At 59.9% G+C, this 11,361-nt stretch overlaps 1 protein-coding gene across 17 annotated transcripts, besides 4 other annotated features; it reads left to right on the plus strand.

Annotated features, from left to right (window-relative positions):
• The first annotated feature begins 1,097 nt into the window (after positions 1–1,097).
• TBC1D10C (TBC1 domain family member 10C) lies at positions 1,098–7,275 on the plus strand. 17 transcript variants are annotated; one of them, XM_006718538.5, is made up of 10 exons: positions 1,115–1,142; positions 1,304–1,539; positions 2,270–2,369; positions 2,584–2,691; positions 2,780–2,886; positions 3,088–3,202; positions 3,812–3,877; positions 4,012–4,201; positions 6,164–6,318; positions 6,592–7,274. In XM_006718538.5, the coding sequence occupies exons 2-10, from the start codon at positions 1,388–1,390 to the stop codon at positions 6,937–6,939; spliced, it is 1,341 nt and encodes a 446-aa protein (XP_006718601.1). In that variant the 5' UTR covers positions 1,115–1,142; positions 1,304–1,387; the 3' UTR covers positions 6,940–7,274.
• Positions 2,246–2,415: an enhancer, noted in NCBI's record as "active region_5091". NCBI's record gives its function as "activates an Ori minimal core promoter by ATAC-STARR-seq in GM12878 lymphoblastoid cells {active_cell/tissue: GM12878}" and the evidence as "EXISTENCE:reporter gene assay evidence [ECO:0000049][PMID:35858748]".
• Positions 9,061–9,200: an enhancer, noted in NCBI's record as "active region_5092". NCBI's record gives its function as "activates an Ori minimal core promoter by ATAC-STARR-seq in GM12878 lymphoblastoid cells {active_cell/tissue: GM12878}" and the evidence as "EXISTENCE:reporter gene assay evidence [ECO:0000049][PMID:35858748]".
• Positions 9,227–9,728: an enhancer, noted in NCBI's record as "H3K4me1 hESC enhancer chr11:67179513-67180014 (GRCh37/hg19 assembly coordinates)". NCBI's record gives its function as "activates a minimal SCP1, AML or CMV promoter by ChIP-STARR-seq in naive H9 embryonic stem cells {active_cell/tissue: H9 hESC(naive)}" and the evidence as "EXISTENCE:reporter gene assay evidence [ECO:0000049][PMID:30033119]".
• Positions 9,729–10,228: an enhancer, noted in NCBI's record as "H3K4me1 hESC enhancer chr11:67180015-67180514 (GRCh37/hg19 assembly coordinates)". NCBI's record gives its function as "activates a minimal SCP1, AML or CMV promoter by ChIP-STARR-seq in naive H9 embryonic stem cells {active_cell/tissue: H9 hESC(naive)}" and the evidence as "EXISTENCE:reporter gene assay evidence [ECO:0000049][PMID:30033119]".

Genomic DNA, 11,361 nt, shown 5'->3' on the forward strand with positions numbered 1-11,361 from the left:
GGACTTTGGGAGGCCTAGGCGGGCGGATCATTTGAGGTCAGGAGTTCGAGACCAGCCTGGCCAACATGGTGAAACCCCATCTCTCTAAAAATACAAAAAGTTAGCTGGGCATGATGGGAGCCTCCTGTAATCCCAGCTACTTGGGAGGCTGAGGCAGGAGAATCGCTTGAACCTGGGAAGTGGAGCCCAGGCGACAGTGCGAGACTGTCTCAAAAAAAAAAAAAAAAAAAAGAAGAGCAGACGATAAATGAACCTTAATTCTTGTTGGAACCCTGAGTTGGTGCTTTACATGCCAGTAACCTCAGAACTGGAAGTGGGCCTGCCGTGGTGGCTCAGGCCTGTAATTCCAGCACTTTGGGAGGCTAAGGCGGGATGGTCTCTTGCGTCCAGCCTGGGCAACACAGCGAAACCCTGTCTCAACAAAAAATACAAAAATTAGCTGGGCATGGTGGTGCGCGCCTGCAGTCCCAGCTACTGTGGAGGCTGACGCAGGAGGATCTCTTGAGACCAGGAGGTGGAGGTTGCAGTGAGCCCAGATCGTGCCATTACACTCCAGCCTGGGTGACAGAGCAAGACCCTGTCTCAAGAAACAAACATGAAGTCCAGGCGCAGTGGCTCATGCCTGCAATCCCAGCACTTTGGGAGGCTGAGGTGGATGGATCACCTGAGGTCAAGAGTTTGACCAATGTGGCAAAAACCCTGTCTCTACTAAAAATACAAAAATTAGCCGGGCATGGTGGTGCTTGTCTGTAGTCCCTGCTACTTGGGGGGCTGAGGCAGGAGAATCACTTGAATCCGGGAGGTGGAGGTTGCAGTGAGCTGAGACCGCGCCACTGCACTCCAGCCTGGGCAACAGAGCGAGACTCTGTCTCAAAAGAAACAAACAAAAGAACTGGAGGTGGCCCGGCCCCTGCGTCTAACAGTCCTGGGCCCTCCACACCAGCACAGGAACTCAAGCCTGCAGTCACTGGGGCCATGGGGAAGGTGGGAGGAGCCCACAGCTCAGGGGCACTGGGGCAGGCAGGAAGAGCCTCAGAGAGGAAGGGGTGACACCCCCCACCCTTGGGAGGGGCCCCCAGCGGTTGCCAAAGCTGTGTGAGGAGGAGGAGGAAGTGAGAGGAGGAGGTGAGGTGCTGCGGGAGGTGAGCTGGGCTGGTGGGGACAGGGGCAGGGCTTGGGGCTGGGTCTCCGGACAGAGGCCTGGCTTTTCTGTCAGGGCAGGGCCTAGCCCCTGCCCCCATAAAAGAGGAGACATAGGGGGCTTGGTGAGATACCCTGAAACCTCCCCCCTCTGACCCCGCAGCCAGGCCCCAGGCTGGCCGGGAGTGGCCCCTCACACTGGTTCTCCCCACTTTCTCTGCCTGTGGCATCGAAGGCCCCGGGCACCATGGCCCAGGCCCTGGGGGAGGACCTGGTGCAGCCTCCCGAGCTGCAGGATGACTCCAGCTCCTTGGGGTCCGACTCAGAGCTCAGCGGGCCTGGCCCATATCGCCAGGCCGACCGCTATGGATTCATTGGGGGCAGCTCAGCAGAGCCAGGGTAAGGGGGCAGGGTGAGGGCTGGCGGAATGCTGGGACAGAGGACAGGGGGCTGAGGGCTGAATTCTGGAGGGAGGCCGGGAGGGTCTGGTGGTAGGGATTGGGAGGGGGACTCAGCCAGTAGCACCCCTCTGCAGGTGCCAGGTGGAACCCTAAGGTGGGAAGGGTCCGGGGAGGCCTCTGTACGTCTCTTACCCCCAGCCTCCGAGGGTTTGCACCCACTACTGGGGCAGAACATCCTTCCCCTTTGAACCTCTGGCTCAGGAATCCCAGATCCAAATCACAGAACCCATACCTCCTCCTTCCCCCTTTCCCCAAGCTACAGACAGAAACACAAGTCCAGATATAGACAGAAACTTGCCCCAGGTCACACAGATCAGACACAGACCCAGACTCAAACTCAGGACTCTGGGCTTCCAGTCCAGGGCTCTCTCCAGCCAGCTTCCCCTATGAATTGTCTGTGTCCCTGTCCTGGGTGACAGCCAACCAGTCCCTCCCCCAATACACACCCACTCACCCCTTCAGTCTCCTGCTTCTGCCCACGTCGGAGCCACATCCTTTCCTGTCCCCGTGACAAGCATTGGCAGCTCCTGGGTCACAGGTCACCCCACAGGGCTCCCAGAGATCCCTAGGGCCAGGAGCTGGGTTCACCTGGGTAGCCTGGAGGGTGGCAGTGTGGGCCTTGGGTAACAGCTGCCCAGCGTCTGGATACCTGTGCCATGCACCCCCAGGCCGGGCCACCCACCTGCAGACCTCATCCGCCAACGGGAGATGAAGTGGGTGGAGATGACCTCGCACTGGGAGAAAACCATGTCCCGGCGGTACAAGAAGGTGAGGGGGGCAGGGGCCCCACTTGGCTTCCATGGCTCATTCCTCTCTGCCTCAGCCCACATCTTGGCAAAATGTACCCACCCTGTGTCCCAGCACCTCCGGCCTTTGCTCCCTGCCACCCAAAGTGGGCCCCTGCCTGCTGATGAGCTGTGCCTGGGGCCTGCCAGCAGGAGCTATGGAGGCTGCCTAGTGGAGCCCTTGGCCTCACCCACAGGTAAAGATGCAGTGCCGGAAAGGCATCCCGTCTGCCCTGCGCGCCCGATGCTGGCCCCTGTTGTGTGGGGCCCATGTGTGCCAGAAGAACAGCCCTGGCACCTATCAGGTGAGGGAGTGGGCAGGGGCCCCAATTCCCCTACCCAGAGCCCCTCACCACACTGAACCCTCACACCCACCTTCCTGGCTACCCACAGGAGCTGGCAGAGGCCCCTGGAGACCCACAGTGGATGGAGACCATTGGCAGGGACCTGCACCGTCAATTCCCTCTGCACGAGATGTTTGTGTCGCCTCAGGGCCACGGGTACGAGGCCGGTGATGCCCAGGGACCCCCAGCCCCACAAGCCCCAGGTGCTCCAGCCCACTTTCCCTAGCCCAGCTCTACAGTCTTGCATCTCAGGGGACCCAGGAAGGCCCAGGGAGGCTGAGGCCTGGGCAGAGGCCCCCAGAGGGTGGAGAAGGGGGTGCCTGCAGGACTGGCCCCTTATGGGGTCTTCCGGCACAGGCAGCAGGGGCTCCTGCAGGTGCTCAAGGCCTACACCCTGTATCGACCGGAGCAGGGCTACTGCCAGGCCCAGGGGCCCGTGGCTGCTGTGCTGCTCATGCACCTGCCCCCAGAGGTGAGTGACCTTGACCCTGCTCTGGGAACCCTAGTGACCTAGGCCCAGGGAACCCCATCCCCAGGAACTGTGGCCTCAGAAACCTGCAATCCTTGATTCCTGGACCCTGTCCTAGTGACCCAGGTCCTCATGACTGCCAGCCTCAGTGACCTTCAAGCCTAATGACCTTGACTCCAGGAACCTGGGACCCTTGACCCCAGCCTTGACCCCAGTCATCTAGGAATCTGGATGTTATCACCTTGACCCCACGACTCCTGATTCTGAACTTGGGGACTGCGACCCCAACCCCAAAGACCCAGAAACCCAGGACTTGAACTTTGGGACACTCCCAACCCTTGGCCAGTGAACCCCAACCCTGTGACCTTCAAATCTAACACCATGAGCCCTGTGATTTCCAACACCCTAAACCCCTCAGCAGACCCTGTCTTGGGCAGAGGAGGGGGCTTTTGGGAAGGGCTTCCAGGAACTGCGCAGGTTAGGAGTGGCCCTGAGTGCAGGCCCCTGTGGTGCCCAGGCCCTCCCCTTCACTCCTTTCCCCTGTCCTGCCTTCTCCTCCACGGTCCCTTCCTTGGTGAGCACTTACAGGCCTGTGCCCTGCCCCTTCCCCAGGAGGCCTTCTGGTGCCTGGTGCAGATCTGTGAGGTCTACCTCCCTGGGTACTACGGGCCCCACATGGTGAGAGGCTGACATGGGGGCTGGAGGAAGGAGGGGCAGGGGCCCGGTGAGTGGGTGGGGGTCTGGGGACTGAGGGAGGTTGAGCCTGGGCTCTGGGGGTGGCGGTGCTGGCCTGCTGATGGACGTGGCCACAGGAGGCTGTGCGGCTGGACGCCGAGGTGTTCATGGCCCTGCTGCGGCGGCTGCTTCCGCACGTGCACAAGCACCTGCAGCAGGTGGGCGTCGGACCCCTGCTGTACCTGCCCGAGTGGTTCCTGTGCCTCTTCGCCCGCTCCCTGCCCTTCCCCACAGTGCTGCGTGTCTGGGATGCCTTCCTCAGTGAGGGTGAGTGGGGCAGCCAGTGGCTGGGGCAGGAGCCTTGGGGTGTGGGTGGGGAGGTAGCTCACCAGCTCCAGGGTTCCCTTTTTGAGCCTCAAATCACAGGACTGGGTGTGCCGAAGGTGATGGCCTGGTGCCTGGCGCTACATCACCCATCACCCATCACCCAGGCACCGCCTGGTGCAGAGCTGGGCCAGGGAGGCTTCCAGAGGAGGCAGATGGGGCAGGAGCAGGGTGATCACAGCACATGGAGGCCTGAGCTTCTCAGGGACAGTAGGAGGCGTTCCTCCCCAGAGCCCGCAGGCACCTGCTGGGTGCTCACTGGCTCCAGACGTGGATCTGCAGCTGGGAATCAAGTGATCGAGACCTTCAATTCTGGCGGGGGTGGGGATGGGTGGCGACAGTAACCAAATTCACAAGATATTTATAGATTGTCAGAAGTGTCATGAAGAAAATAAAACAAGGGATGTGACAGGGAGTGTCAGGGGAGTGCAGGGGCGATGGCTGCATTTAAGCTCCTTCTGGCTGCTCTGTGCAGGAGGAGGACTCACAGGGGTGGCTGTGGAGGCCTGGGGCCAGAGAGGCCACTGTCCCCAGGGGCCAGGCTACAGTCTACGAAGCAGGGAGGGCTTGGAGCCATGAAGCCAGAGAGGTGGAGGCTGGGGGCCAGGCCAAGAACAGGAGGGGAGTCGGAGCAGAGCCAAGCTGGACTCCCTGTGTCTTTGGGACTCTGCCTTGATACTGCCATCGGTAACCCACCTGCATTCTGTTCTATATGTGAGGTCTGGAGGTTGCACCTTAAAACGTGGTAGAAATCAGTCAGCATATGCATACTGTGCATACTGAATGCCTGTCGTGTGCTCAGCCGGCTTCCTGCCCTCCGCACAGCGGAGGACCACTGGCTGACTTAGAGTTCTGGCCACAGGTGTCCAAGTCGCTATCCATGCGGTCACCTTCCAACCAGCCTTAGACCTCGAGAGCAGGGCTGGGCAGAGCTGGGCAGGGCCTGACCTGCCCACCTGGGGGCAAACACTACACAGGCTCCCTTTATCAGAAGGACGATAGTATGAATAGTGATTGTTCCTACCATCATCACTCAACCTCGCTGGTCCCCTGGTGGCTCTTCTCAGATCAGAGGCTGCCAGGAAGGAATTTTGAGGCTCCAGGACTAGCCCAAACTCACACTGTGGGGAGTGTGCACTGAGTGCTATGCTCCTGGCTTAGGGAAGAGCAGTTCTGCCTAGGATCTTTCTAGAATCAGAGGGTCACAGATCCAAGTTGGAAAGGCCCTTAAAGGGCTCCACCTGACCTTTCATCATGGAGATGAGCAAGCTGAGGCCCAGGGAGGGCTTGGTGTGAAGGCATCAGTAGCCCTGGGCTCCTGGCAGGAAGCTGGTGGCTTGGAGGGGACTGGAGCCTTGGGGTGTGGACAGGGAGCTAGCTCACCAGCTCCAGGGTTCCCTTTTGGAGCCTCGAGTCATGGGACCAGGTGTGCTGAAGGTGATGGCCCTGTGCCTGGTGGCACATCACCTGTCACCCGGATGCTGCCTGGGGTAGGAGCTGGGTGATCATAGCACATGGAGGCCTGACTGGCTCAGGGAGGGTAGGAGGTGCTCCTCCCCGGAGCCCACAGGCACCTGCTGGGTGCTTGCTGGCTCCAGATATGGATGGCATCTGAGCATCAAGTGATCAAGACCTTCATTTTGGCGGGGGTGGGGATGGGAGGCGACAGTAACCAAATTCACAAGATAGTAACTCTTCCCCAAAGCATCTGTGGCTCTTGAGGCTAACTTGGCCAGTACAGCGGCCTGTGTTACCCGAAATGCAACTCCACCCTCTGTCATTGTTCCTGAACCGGGGAGGGCAGAGCTGCAGGAGAGTGGGAGGCATATGGCTGAGGGCAGGTTTGGGTGCAGAACTGTGGAGGGGCAGGGCCGGCCTCCCAGTGAATAAGCCCCCGGCCTGCAGGTGCCAGAGTACTGTTCCGTGTGGGGCTGACACTGGTGCGCCTGGCGCTGGGCACTGCAGAGCAGCGAGGGGCCTGCCCTGGCCTCCTGGAGACACTGGGAGCCCTTCGAGCCATCCCCCCCGCGCAGCTGCAGGAGGAGGCCTTCATGTCACAGGTGGGTACCCCCACCTCTCCTTGGACTTGCCCAGCCCCTGCTGCACGGGGGAAACTGAGTCCCAGAGCAGGAAGCCAAAGCGAGAATGGGGACTTAGTTCCTGTCCCCTGAGCTTCAGAGAACACAAAAACCTGAGGCCTCCAGTGGCTTTCTGTGGCTCCCCAGTGAGGCTGTCAGCCCCTCAGTCCTCAGCCACTTCCTGGGCTGGGGACCTCACAGTTTCCTGTTCCTGCCTTGAGGCCGGGCAAACGCAGCACCAACTGCTCCCCACAGGTGCACAGCGTGGTGCTGTCAGAGCGGGACCTGCAGCGGGAGATCAAGGCCCAGCTGGCCCAGCTGCCCGATTCCGCGCCGGGACCCCCGCCCCGGCCACAGGTCCGCCTCGCCGGGGCCCAAGCCATCTTTGAGGCCCAGCAGCTGGCAGGAGTGCGACGAGGCGCCAAGCCTGAGGTGCCTCGGATTGTGGTGCAGCCCCCGGAGGAGCCCAGACCACCGCGGCGGAAACCCCAGACCCGCGGCAAGACTTTCCATGGGCTCCTGACTCGGGCCCGGGGCCCCCCCATCGAGGGGCCCCCCAGGCCCCAACGAGGCTCCACCTCCTTCCTGGACACCCGCTTCTGAGAGGACCATGGACTTAGTGTCCCCCAGTCTCAATTGCCTGATGGCTGATGCCGGCCCGGCAAATAGGCACCGCACTTTACTCTTGGGACTCGGGGACTTGGCTTCCTTCCTGGCAAGGACCAGGCAGTGGGGAAGGAGGAGGTCCTCCGTGGTACATACTGGGTCAGGCACTAGCATGGAGGAGGGTCACAGAGTGGGGCACGTGAGGACCCATGGAACCGTCCTGGTGCCCAGGCCCTCACAAGTACCAAAGCCAGCACCAAAGGAGTCAGGGAAGGGGTTGGCTGAGTCAAGGGACCCCAGAGGGCACCAGGAATAAAATCTTCTTGAACAGATGCCTTGGATGGCGCTGGATCAAATGCCCTCCTCCCAACCCCAGACAGGCAGCCCCTTCCCCTCCTCCCTCATCTGCCCTTCCCAGCCCCGCCCTCTCCTGGTCCTGCCCTGGGGACACACCGAGGCTGCCCACTGGCCGCTGGGGAAGGTGTTTACAGTAATAAGAGCCAATTGAAAGTTGCCCTGCCCAGCCTCTGGGGACAGGAGTGGCTTTTGCACCTGCAGGAGGAGGGCGCCCCAGTGGATGGCGAGTCCAGGGGCTCTACCCCCTCTTCTGCCCTCCTTCCCCTCCCTCCAGGGTGGTTCAGTACTCGCTGGGATGGGGGACTCTAACCCAAGTCCTCCCCGCACCCATGGTTCTAGTCACATCTGTCAAAGGGATCCAGGCAAGAACAAAGGCCTAGTGTGCCTCGGACAAAGGAGAAAGGTCCCGCCAGCCCTCACCCCTCCCTGGGCCCTGCGTCTGCCCCCTCGGGACCGCCACCATGGAAACCCCCTCCCACACTCACTAATAGCCCCCGTGGGTGCCCAGGACCTGAGCCATCGCCAGGGCAACAGGGCTGGTTCCGACACAGGCGTGTGTCCCGCAGTGTCCATTCCCAAGTGCCCTCCCTTCGATGGGGAACACGGCAGGACTCCATATGGATGGGAGGCATCTGCAGGCCCAGGCTCCAGGGGTGGCCATTGGGTGGGGTGTCAGTGGAGTCACCTGTCAGACTCTGGGTTTGGAATGTTCTTGCGACAGGGCCACAGGCTGCGTCTATGTGGCAAGTGCCAGGTCCTGGGTCCTGGGCAGACTTGTCCTACTCCCAAGGAGCCTAACCCCTGGAAGAGGGAATCATGGCGGCCCAGACCCTTCCTTATCTGTCGTTTCTCCGGGGGAAACTGAGGCTCAGGAGGAGCAGGAACTTGCAGAAAGCCTTACTATCTATCCATAGCAGACCCAAGGTTTAGCCCTGCCCCAACCACTGGCAGCTCCCCCCTGGGCAGCCCCCTGGGAGTGCTTTCTCCTGCTCCTTCCCCGCTCTACCCCCAATCCTGCACCAGCCCCTCAGTGTGTGAATGAGGCAATAGCCAGACTCCCGTGATTTAGAGCGCGCTCCAGAGCCTCCTCTGCCCACTCCTCCTTACCCCGCTGGGGTGCCTGCAACTTAATAATAGCCTCCTTACCTGTAGTTTACAAAACCCTTTCCCAGACCCCCCGCCCCTAGGCCCTCTCTCTGCAGGTGGCCCCTGATATCCCTGTTAGAGACACAGGCTTAGTGAGGACAAGGACCTCACCCAGGCCCACAGTGAAAGGCAGAGCCGGCTGGAATGCAGAGGCAAGGCTCTGTGCTGTGTAGACTATGCCTTATCCTTAGACGAGGAGTGTCTTGGTGGAATCTCAGGCACTGTAGCGGGCAGGGTGGCCGGGGTCAGGGGGCACTTGTCCCTGAAATCCACTTGGGAGCTCCCCGCCCTCCACAGTTCAGCTCTTTGCCTGGGAGAATAGAGGAGCAAGGTGCAGCAGCCTCAGCCCTGGGCCGAGGGTCTGTCATGAGCCTGCGGGGGCGCGGTGGCAGTGGCTCACCCTGGACACAGACCCTAGGAGCCGGTGGTCTCCAGCAGCGTCCCTCCAGCTGGGGCTCAGTCATTGCCTTTCCTACTCAGGAGACTGTTTTCTGGGCAGCTCTTCTGTAGGTTTCCTTATCAGTCACCTGCATGGGAGCCCTAACTCACAGGCTGGACAGAAGAGGCCCAGTGCCCTCCGGGTGTGAACCCTCGCACACATGCGTTCTCACAGGCTCTCCTCCGCAGGGCTGCACCGGCCCCCACAGCACCTTTTTGCCAGCTAGGGAAAGACGTCTCTCCTCCAGGCAACATGCAGCCTCACCAGAGTGCACGGTGTAGCAGAGTGGGGTGTGATCTCTCTCCCAGGTGCCTTTGTGCAGTGAGCAACCTACACAAACATGCTCAGTGAACCTAGAAAGTCCCTACAGATCTGCCTGGAAGGGGGCTCAGAGAAGGGAAGTGATGCATCTGAGAGGACTCAGTGTGTGGGGACTGAAGCTGGGAGGGCCCCTGGGATGTCTGTCAGCCTGCCTCAGAGTGGACACGAGTGGGGGCATGCAAAGGAGTGGAGCAGGACAAATGGGTGCCTGCCATGGATCGGCGGGGAGGACCCACGGTCTCCATCTTGCCCTGCCACCCACTTGAGGTTCCCTGAATTCCCACACTGTTCCAGGCTCCCAGAGGGGTCAGACTTGGACTCACCTGCATGGGAAAGGCCCTTTCTTCTCCTCTGAGCCTCAGTATTCTCCTGCGGATAATGGGATTATAATAGCCCCCACCCCAGCCTCAAGAGGGCTCTACCAGCTCATGATGATGATGATGATGACTGTTCAGTCCAGCGGGACAGCAGCCAAAGCACTGCCTCTCCTCACCCCACCCCTACCTAGCCTCAGGTGATGTCCAGGCTTTCCTGGCAGGGGCAGAGCAGAACCACCCGCCCACCTGCCTGCCCCAAGTCCCAGGATCCTGAGCTTGGGCTGCAGCTGCCCAACTCTGATTTTCCTCCCTGTATCCACAAGGCAAAAGCCAGAGCAGCCAGGGACCAGACAGGGTGGCCTAGGAGAGGGCACAGCCGCAGCACTCTGTGCATGCATGCACGCATTCTGGCAGAAGATCCCGGCTCTGCCTCTCACCAGCTGTGTGACCTTGGGCAAGTCACACGACCTCTCTCAGTCTCATAATTGCTCCCTTGCATGTGAAGTGTTAAGCCTGGGCTGAGTGTGCACTGTATCCCCATTTGAAGATGAGAAAACTGAGTCCCCAGGGCTGCAGAGCTTGTTAAATGTTAAATGTCAAAGCTCATGCTCTTTGGATCACGCCCAGGCCCCACAGTGGGACCCCATGGGCGCTCAGGCCACCCAGGTGGCAAGCGATTGGGTCTCCTGGGGTGGTTGTGGGACCTGGGCCCCTCCCCTTAGTGATCTGAAGCTCACTCTCCCCAGCCTAGAATGGGGCTGGTTCCTCATTCCTGGAGCCTGGACCAGCTGTAGGGAGGGCTGCACGTGGGCCTGGAAGTTGTGTGGGGAATGTGGGCTGGACTGGGCATCCTGGAGAAGCCATTTCCCCTCTCTGCCGACCCTCTCCAGTGGTAGACAGGGATGGGTCTGCACAGACTGCCCTGTATATAGTTGCAGAAAGGGTCCAACAGCTGTCATCTCTGTCCCTGACATGTGTGGGCCCCTCAGTATTCTCCCCCAGGCCAGGAGGCTCTCAAGGACAGCCAGGGCTCAATATGTGTCCAGTTGCGAGACAGGCAGGGAGAAGGGCTGACTGGGGACTGTGAGAGGGAGGAGTTAGAGCCATAGGCTGCCCTGCCTAGGAGAGGGAAACCAGCCCCATTCTAGGCTGGGGAGAGTGAGCTTCAGATCACAAAGGGGAGGGGCCCAGGTCCCACAGCCAGAGCTAGGATTGAAACCCACTGGTGGGACACACTCCAGGAGAGGGGGTGAATCTCTGGTTGTGCTTCTGTGGGTGAATTGTGGCTGAGACCCAGGTCTCCTGGGGTATGCTTCTGTGGTTGGGTGGGTACACTTGGGTGTGAGTATGTATGTCTTGGGGAGATTATAGCTTCAACTCCGGGTGTGAAGTTGACCTGGGTGGGTGTTGATAAGCAGAGCAGATTTCTTTTCCTTTCTTTTCTCTTCTTTTTTCTTTCTTTTTTTTTTTTTTTAAAGAGATAGGGGGGCCAGGTGCAGTGGCTCACACCTGTAATCCTAGCACTTTGGGAGGCCAAGGTGACCAGATCATGAGGTCAGGAGATTGCGACCATCCTGGCCAACATCATGAAACCCCGTCTCCACTAAAAATACAAAAATTAGCTGGGTGGGCTGGGCGCGGTAGCTCATGCCTGTAATCCTAATACTTTGGGAGGCTGAGGCGGGCAGATCACCTGAGGTCGGGAGTTCGAGACTAGCCTGACCAACATGGAGAAACCCTGTCTCTACTAAAAATACAAAATTAGCTGTCATGGTGGCGCATGCCTATAATCCCAGCTACTCCAGCCTGGGCAACAAGAGCGAAACTCCATCTCAAAAA

The sequence above is a fragment of the Homo sapiens genome, chromosome 11, assembly GCF_000001405.40.
Source record: "Homo sapiens chromosome 11, GRCh38.p14 Primary Assembly".
In the NCBI taxonomy this organism is placed as follows: domain Eukaryota; kingdom Metazoa; phylum Chordata; class Mammalia; order Primates; family Hominidae; genus Homo; species Homo sapiens.

Coding starts and splice junctions, on each gene's coding strand:
- TBC1D10C (NM_001369498.1), top strand. CDS start 1,388: ATGGCCCAGGCCCTGGGGGAGGACCTGGTGCAGCCTCCCGAGCTGCAG. Junction 3,878..4,011: donor GGTACTACGGGCCCCACATG/GTGAGAGGCTGA, acceptor ACGTGGCCACAG/GAGGCTGTGCGGCTGGACGC. Junction 6,319..6,591: donor AGGAGGCCTTCATGTCACAG/GTGGGTACCCCC, acceptor TGCTCCCCACAG/GTGCACAGCGTGGTGCTGTC.